This window comes from Homo sapiens, chromosome 13 (assembly GCF_000001405.40).
Source record: "Homo sapiens chromosome 13, GRCh38.p14 Primary Assembly".
Lineage (NCBI taxonomy): Eukaryota > Metazoa > Chordata > Mammalia > Primates > Hominidae > Homo > Homo sapiens.
In genome coordinates, this window is record NC_000013.11 from 64999917 (window position 1) to 65009665 (window position 9749).

Sequence of the window (9749 nt, forward strand, 5' to 3'; positions counted from 1 at the left end):
CATTCACAAATTATCTCAAAGTAATTCTTTTTTTGAATGATAAAGGTAAGATTTTATGGTCATAGAGTTCAATCACATATCCAGGACTTAAGTTGTCACAGATAGGTGCCATACACACTATACATTAGAGAGAAAACATTACATTTCAAAATAACCTTTGCTGTTTCAGGACACCTCTCCCTTTCCCCTACCCTCACCCTAGCCAACACTTAGAGAGATCTTTATATCCAAATGATATGTATAATAAATTGAATTCCTTTTCAGGAATCTCATCTACCAATGTTTTAACCTTATGCCTCTCTTCATCACCCTGCCAAATCTTTTGTAATTATACTTCATGAAGTGTTTTAAGTCTTCTCTTAACTTTCCTGAGGCTCTCTCTTGAATATATTTTATCTAATCATATATTCTTACTCTAATGTTGAGGGCAAAAATATCATTTTCTATTTCATATTATCTCATAAGATGTTTTTCTCATTCTATTGTTTCATTGTCCTTATTAGTATTTTCTCTACCTTCCCTTTTAGCACCATCTGTGAGTTCTCTGACTTTGCATTTACTCTCTTTTAACAATAATTAGGATGGTAAATAAGATTAAGCTTCACTAATCTCTGTTTTGTCCCCTGTAGGTTATTTCCAGTTTTTGCACTGTCTTGTACTAATAACCCTGTTAACAGGTTCATAGAAAAATCGTAATAAGCGTTCTGAGCAAAATTCAACTGAATTCACTAGTTTACTACTGGGCATGTTATGAATACACTCTGTAATTTAAAAGTTTATAACATTACTTTTTAAAACCTTAAATAATTGCATTTTCATTAGCTTTACATATTTTTCATTGTTTAGTCATTATCAATTTCAGGTAAAATTATTCATGCAGAATTATTCTAGTTATTCTTTAAAGACCTATTTTTTCCGAATTGATATTATTTGTCTGAAAAAGCAAATTGTATTGTTAAACCATATATTAATATTTTAACCTATATCATCTTTACATTAAGTAAATCATTATTTGTTGTTGATTAATGTGAAGGTAGGATGAAAATGACAGAGGCCACAAACATTCTCTGTAAGGTATAGAAGAGTTTAAAATTTAGTCCCAATACAGAAGTTCTTCTAAGTTTTCTATTTTTCCCTCTATAAGTGATAAAGCAATTTCCTCAGTCTCCCAAGGACTTGGCTTGACATTGGCAATATGGGTAGAATGAAAAAGCAGTTTGGAACTTCAAAATAATCAGTTCTTCCAAATTAATCAGTTCTTCAGTTACTTCCAAATTAATCCAGTCTTTCAGATTTATTTTTACTTTTCCCACTGATCTTTATATTTTTCCAATATCGTTCAAGAGAAACTATGCATATGTGGTATGAGACAACTGGTCCCCTTTTCCCACTTTGGTTTTCACAGATTTCCACTGGGAGGGTCTCATATTCTGAGGTTTTTAGGTGTCAGACTCAATTTCCAATGTTTCCACTGTTATTTGATGTTTTGTTTTCTTTACTTACATGATACATAATGACTGCTCAGAGCTAATTTTCTTTTAAGCTTTCATGTCTTCTCTGCACACATCATTCTACTGAGAGACCTCCAGTTTTGATCAAGACAATCTTCAAATTGCAAAACCCCAAAGAGAATTTGCTAATTCTTACCTTGACCTTCAAAAATTTCAGTAGAATGACCACATATACAATATACATTTTAATTGTATTAAATAATAAATTTATACAATATGAGTTTTAATTGTATTAAATTTATACAATATAAGTTTAATTTGAAATTTATTAAATAATATGATAAATATCTTAATTTAGTCATGCTACATATTGTGAATAATATGCTCTTCACATTTATTTTGGAAAACATTTTTATTATTCAAATAAAAAATAATATACAATTTTTGTCTAAAATAACACACCTGTTAAGCAAAGTAGCTTTCAATTTATTTGTTTTATCCTTACAAAATATCCAGATTTAATTATAAGGGGAATCACTAGAAAAAAATGTGATGCTTAATTTTCCATAGAAAAAGCATAACTTCTCCTTCCATACTAAAAAACAATTGGCCTTTGGAATTCTATAAGTATGTTAACTTCTTAGTTTGCAAGTTAGATGTGAAGCTGTGTGAGAGGTTGGTTTTATGTGTTCATTTGGCCACCAGCAGCCTAGATATTTGGTTAAATATTATTTTTCGTGTGTCTATGAGGGTGTTCCTAGATGAGATAACATTTGAATCATGGATTGAATAAGGCAGATAGTACTCCCAGTGTGAGTGAGCCTCATCCAGTACATTGAAGGCCTGAATAAAATGAAAGCCTGGGTTAAGAAAAAAAATTCTCTTCCCCTGCCTGACAATCCTTGAGTTGGGTTGCCTTCAGGGTTCAGAACTTATATCATTGGCTCTTTGGTTCTCAGGCCTTTGGACTAAAACTGGAATTATACCATCAGCTCCAACAGGTCTCCAACTTGCTAAATGTGATTCTTGGGACCCTTAGCCTGTATAATTGTGTGAGCCAATACCTTACACTAATCTTAACACATATATATCTTATCACTTCTTTTTCTCTCAAGAATTAAGACTAAGAGAAGCTGTAAGAGACATGTATTCTACGATTTTATTGTGGACTCGCAAGTGAAAAAAACATAAGGTTATTCCAGGAAGTAATGTATAAAGCAACTACATTATAAATGTATAAAAATAAAAATGTCTAAAGTATTAGCTAGCTGCTTTCATTATAATATCACATTAACAATTAGTTGTGATTATTGCCTCCTCTATGGTACAGTTTGTCATGAATCCAGTACTACTTTACAATTTAATATTCCCTTAAAATAGCCATTTTTCAAGGAGTGAACATCAGATGCGCAAATGATAAAACATAGATGTACACAAACATAGCAAGCAAATCAGTGTTCGAAGTTAAGGGAATCTCTAGGGTAAATTTAAGTGATTCAATATGCCCATAGTACAGGTTGTTAATCAGCCACGGACAATACTTCAGACAGATTCAACTCTCTGTGTATTCATTTAGAAAGATTGATGTAGATTTCTGTAAGCAAAGAAAAATAATTATGAACTCATAAAATTTCCCCAAAACAGTTAAAAATAACTTTGGCAACAACACTCTGAAATGATTTTATATATATTTTACATTTAACAATTTTTATTTACCATAAATGCACAGTATTTAAATATTATGACCACGTCTTTCCACAAAGTGTTTAAAAAATATATTAGATTAAATAGTTCAATAAATAAATAATAATATATACAAAAATTATCATCTCTTGTCTTTCAAAAACTCATCTTTGGTTTATGATACAGACATGATATATACCTCAATTAAAGAAGGAAATTAAATTTGTCATAGCAACTTTTCTGTCTATAGATCTGTGAATAAAACATCAAGCAGTAAAAGCTACATTATTAATTAAACTATACTTTCATTTTACTTTCCTTTCTAGAAATATCTCTTAGCCCAATTATCAACAAGTGATAAATATAAATCATATATCTCTGCAAGTTTCTGCCAATGCTAAATCTTATTTATTGGCTTTGAAGAATATATATTTTTGTTTGACTATACCTATGTGATATTTCATTAAATAACCAATTTTAAAACAACAAGAACAAAATACTTGGAGGAAAAACCAATGTGTAGAGTGAGCGCATTTTAGAAAATATTTTTAAATTGATTATTTAGTACATTCTGCATCAAACATAGTTAATAATGGAATCTGTATATCCACAGTCAAGTTAGAAGAAATAAAATTTGAATTTTCTGCAAAATATTTAAAACTGTGTAAATTAATTTACTAAAACAAATGTAATTAAATTAGCTCTCACATTTAACAAAAAATATTATTTTAAAGTATTTTTCAATTTAAACATCTAGTTTCAAACAACACAGTTACAATTATGATACTATTGATACCCATGTAATCATTGTTTTGTTTCTTAAACTTAGACGTTAGGCATTATTATAATTTATTCTTTATTTTCTACCTGAAAGGATATGTTTTTCCATATAAGAAAAATCTTACTGTATAGCTATTATTTAAAAATTGTTTAATAATAAATGCCAACTTCATATTTTTTTGGAACATTCTTATTGGTGAGATCCAGAATACACTTCATTTAGTATGTGGAAATTACACTTTTTTCCATTTGGTACAATTTAGCAAAGCATGAGCAAAAATGATTAAATATATATCCAATTCTCAATTATTCACACTAATGGAGGGGAAAAAAGGTATAGGAGGCATTAAGACAAAGAAAAAGTCCTAACTCATTTTTAGCTTTAAAGTATAATTCATCACATCCATACCTTTCTGTAGCAGTTCACATTTAATATCTTTCTGTGGTAAAGTCCTGTTCATCTAAGCTTTAACATCAAGAGTTCAGATAACCTGACCAGAGACTCTTTTGAAATGTCAGGGGTGCAAAAAATAATTGAGAAAACTCACATGTTACTAAAGGTAAACTGGAATTAGATCAACACAATCCACACTATTTATAAATGTTCTTATTTTTGATTTAATGCATATGTAACCCTCCTTGGTAGTTATATTTATATTCATTCCTTTATCAAGTATTTACTAGATGCTTATTACCTTCTGGGCAACTTTTCTTGTGCTGAAAATGTATCCTTGAAGTAAACATAGTTCCTGTTTTCATAGACATTACATTCTTTTACTGGGAATCAGACAATAAGCAACCAAAAAAACAGATATATGCCAGTGGAGGTAAATGTTAAGAAAAATAAGAATGATGAGAATGCCATTTTAGACAGCATTATCATAAAATATCTATTTATTATATATAATTTCAGTGGAGACACAAATAAAATGGAAAGTGATCCAAGAAAATGGCTGAAGAAAATACTGAATGCAGAGGGAGCCACAAATGCAAAGGCCCTGTGGTGGGCTCAGCTTCTCATGTTTCAGGAATAGCAAAAGACCACATGGTATCTGAAGGTGAGTGAGGGAAGCAGATTATGTAGGGCACTGTGGGCTCTGGGTTTTAGTCTGAATGATATAGGAAGCAACTGGAGGATTTCGAACAAGAGTGATGTGCTCTGTCTTATATCTTAACAGAATCTGTCATGTGGACTTTAAACTATAGGAAGAAAAGTATAGATGTGTGGTAACAACTTACAGTGCTGTAAAAACTAAGATGGTGGTGGCAAGAACTATTTTGATTATGAATTTACTATCAGTTGCATTGTTCTTATTTTTTTAGAATCTATAAACTTATTTTTAGACATTTTTGTCCACATTCTTGAGTAATGGCTATACTTTCCATTGTTTCATTAAAAAATTACATAACAAGGTTGATGATCACCTCATTCACTTTTCACTTTAACATCCCTTTTCGACTCTTATTAAAATTACTCTTCCTAAGACCTCATAACCAATTCTGGTAAACACAATTTAAACTGAACCTATGTAACTATTTTTTTCCTAACTTATTAGCCCTTTGGTTTTATCTTGACTTCCACAGAGATTTATTTTAGAAAGTGTGAAGTGTATTTAGATCTGTTAAGCAACCCGAATTCTTTTTTTTCCATAGTAGAAATATCATTTCTCCCATTGTGCCATGAACTTTCTCATTTCAATACTTTTGCCTTATGGCAACTCAACTTTTAATGCTTTCTCACTCTTCTTTACCTTCTGACCCCAGGTCAAATATCACTTAATCAGGAAAGCGCTCCTGGACCTGTAGGAGCAGATACTGTGTTATATATTTTAATTCAGGGCAATGACCATACCTGTAATTTTACATGGTAACTGTGCCAACTTGATTTATACCTATCTCTTCCAATTATATTGGTGCTCATGACAGAATGAAACCCCAGCCCTAGACATGTCACAAATAGGAGCTCTAAAGATATTTGTTAATAAATGATTCGAAAATAACATCAAACTCATTTTCATTTGGAATTCCATTTCCTGTTCTGAATTCTTGTTGCCAGTAGTATGCATATTTTCTTTTTTATTCACTAACAATTTGAAGAAATACATTACATTCTGATTTTATTTCTACTAATGCTTCTGTTTGTGTTTTAAAATAGTCTTTCATCTATCTATCTTTCCAAAATGTCTTCTTTTGTTAAGCTTCCTAATCTCTGTAACCTAACAGATTGAGATTTCTCTCACGCTCTACTCACTTTTTTGTGCTTGTCAATGTTATAACCATCGTTTTAGTTGAATTACAGATTTATTGATACTTCTCTTTAAAACTTATATTTTATTATGCATTTCTGTTGCAATCATAATTTAGGATATTTGCCATGGTTTTGTAATCATATTTATAATAATTATTTATTCATAGACATATTTACAAGGCTCACAGTGGACTCTTTTATACTGCAATTTTCTTATTTTTTTGAGCTCATTCTTTTTTAAGAAATTTTATCTTGATTTCTGAAGGTAAGACATGTTTTTCAGGAGGAATTTGAGTACTTTTCAACAACTTGTAGTTTAGTAGAGTTGGCAGATAAAATGCAGGACACCCAGTTACATTGAACGTCAGATAAGGAACAGATAATTGTTTAGTAAAAGTGTTTGTATTTATTTGCATGCCCTATACACAAACAGTAGGTAAGTAGATGCCGTTCTCGAATGCCATGCTAAATGTAGTAATCAATATTCTTTAACACAAACAAACAACAAAAAAACATTTTCCATAAAACTCTTGGCAATTGCTTTGTGGCATTTTTAAAGTAGGAAAGTATTTTGCGGTAGCCTTAATTTCTTCCTTATTTAGAACACTTACTTTCAGACTTAAATTCTGATTTAAGAATGAGAATTTTTATAAATTATATGTGTCAATTAATTTTAAAATTAAATTTAAAATTATGGTTCCATTTTGGAATGTTAATTCATTTTCAAAATTATTTTTTTTTCACAGAAAGTCACGCAACTTAGACTTCTTTCAGCAACTTTGACTTTTGCCTCTGTTCAATTTTCTATGAACACAATTATAATTGTTTCTGTTACAGCCTTCATATTTGTCATCTTTCTGATTATTATTCTCATGTACATTTTTCTCTAAATTAGGTCAAACTTTTCAACCTTGTCTTGTACATTACTTGTTATAATAGCAGATCAATATTTACAATACTGTTTTTTCCTGTACTATTTCTAATTCTATTTTAAATTATTCTATTATGTATTCTTATATTATCATCTTTCTCAGCTAAATATTCAATCTTACTTATTTTTCTTACATTATCTTTATATTTTGCTTAATAAAGTCAATATATATTTGAAAAATATTTTTAATACAGAGCAGATGCCATGTAAACTGTATTTTTTCTCCCTGATGTAAATCTTCCCTCCATCTCAGAACTATGCTCTTACCTTCCCCCTAGAAGAAAAAGACGTTAATTTTTGTAATTTATAAAATGATTTAATGTTTATCATTGTGGTCATTCTATACATAGTCATCTGTGAATAAGAAGAGATCTATTAATGCATTGCCTTTTTCCCTCAATAATTTTGCTGTTCTTCTGAATGCAGTTAAAATTCCTCTTTCTTATTTAACCTGCTATATTTGCTGATATCAGACAACATTAAAAATGCCTTTATTCAGCAGTTCAGTTCATCAACAGTAATAGGACAGTTACCTGGACTCTGTCAGTGAAACCTACCATAAAATCCAGTTCTAAGGTGTGGGTGGTATGGTATTATTAAGGGTATTTTTCCTCCCAATCTATGCACTTTGGAAATGTAGTGTTTAAATGATGATGACAATTTCTGAGGTATATTTGGTTTAGGTATACCTCAATCTAGGACTTTAAATGATATTATCTACACTTTCTCCCTCCTTTCATCTCCTGATATTTTTCAATCCCCCCTTATTTCTGCTTCCCTTTGTGTGGTGGGCACGTTTTCTCCTATTGTGTTGGAGTATCTTCCACATGTCAGGATTGAGGTGCACTGTCAACCTCAGCATAATAGAGAGCTGCTTTCTTCAAAAAGTAATAAATCGATAAAAAAATTAAGAAAACTTAATAACCATGTTAGATTTATTCTGAGCAACTTTGAAAAAAATATTATCAGAGTGGGCTTCTGTTATTGTTAAAGACATCATATATATGTAGCCATAGCCCATGTAGGTAGGTTATTGCTATTGCCTTCTTCTACTTCCTTCCTTAGATCACATGGATTAAAAATTTTAAAATACTGTGCAGAAAATAAATATTTATGTACTCTACATTTTACACTTAATCTTCTCAGTCTTCATATATATGTGTAAGCACACAAACACACACACACCTTTATTAGCATACATGTAGTTCTAAGAATTTAGAAATCTAAAACAATACTACTGTTCCCCAAAGGCAAACAGAACAAATTATTGAACGTTTCCGCACTCAAGTTCCAAATCTAGAATATTGGGGTGCTATATAGACCCAATTAGTCAGACTCTTTGCAACTTCTGATTTTGTCATCTATGTTCCAATAATATAGTCAACAAACAGCGTTCTTTCTAAATGCAAGATATTTAATTCTTAGGGAGAAACGGGTATAATAGCAATAAAAATGCCTATTTCAAAATCAGAGAAAAGGAAGAATGTTAGCAATTAGAGCTGTTCACCAAGACATCGTGAACTCCCTTCTTGCATTAAAAAAAAAAAAGAATTATACTTCACTGTCCTCTTAAATCTAGGCATAATGATGTGGACTTCTTTAAACAATGTATTATAATTTGGAACCAGGTATGTGACTTCCGGACAAAAGCATTTCCTGGCCACTGTGACATTCTCAGTCCATGGTGATAGTGAGTGTGTACCTACATGATGTGAAAGTCTGAGCCAGCAATTAGAGAAGTTGCCCAAATCTTCTATGGACTTTATGGAAGTAAGAAATGAACTTTGTTAAGTGACGCCACTGAGATTCCTAGGATGTCTGTTCCTTCACATACATAGCCTGGCCTAGCTTGAAAAAATATAGGAAACAATATAGAGTTGTCACCAGTTCACCAGTTTATATCACTCATTGTTATAGGCTTACCACAAAATTAGAGCGAACAGCAACTTGCTCCCCTGGTAACACAGTAAATTATTGGGTCAGTCAGCATGGACAAATCTGGTTCTGCCTAACAGAATACTCACACCAGAGGTTTCAGTACTTTTAGGGGCTGCCTTAATGGTTGTGTATTTACAGATGCTTTATAGCAGGGCTAGAAATTCTCTGGCAATAAACATCTGTAGAATACTAGGCAAATTTTCTTTCAAATTTTAGGGCAAAAAATAAACTAGCAACCAAAACTAGGCATGTTTTTGTTCATGTTAAGTGATGGACTTTGAATGTTGTGTTTTTTGTCTCTCTTAGATGCAGGTCTCTAATCTTTGCCTAAAGCTTAACTGCTTGACTGTCAACATGGCCTGAAACTGAGATAGAGATGCATAGCTAATCTAGTCCCTGCCGCAATATGCATCATAATGGAAGATACTTTATCACAGACAGGGCTGAAAGATATTGAGGCATATTAGTAACTTTGTAAGGCAAGGAGTGAAACAGGAAATATTTTAGTGGAGTTTAGGAATTCAAGTTTCTTCCACTTCAATAAATCTTCCTAGGTGCCATTATCTCTTCCTGTTTTTCCTGCCTCCTGAATTTGAGCATTAACTATAAATTGGAAAAGTAAATTTTTTGAACTATTATCAAGGCATGAAGTTATCTGATGGTCACCAATCTCAGATGTTGGCATTTGATTTAAAAGACTATCCAAACACTGCAAGGT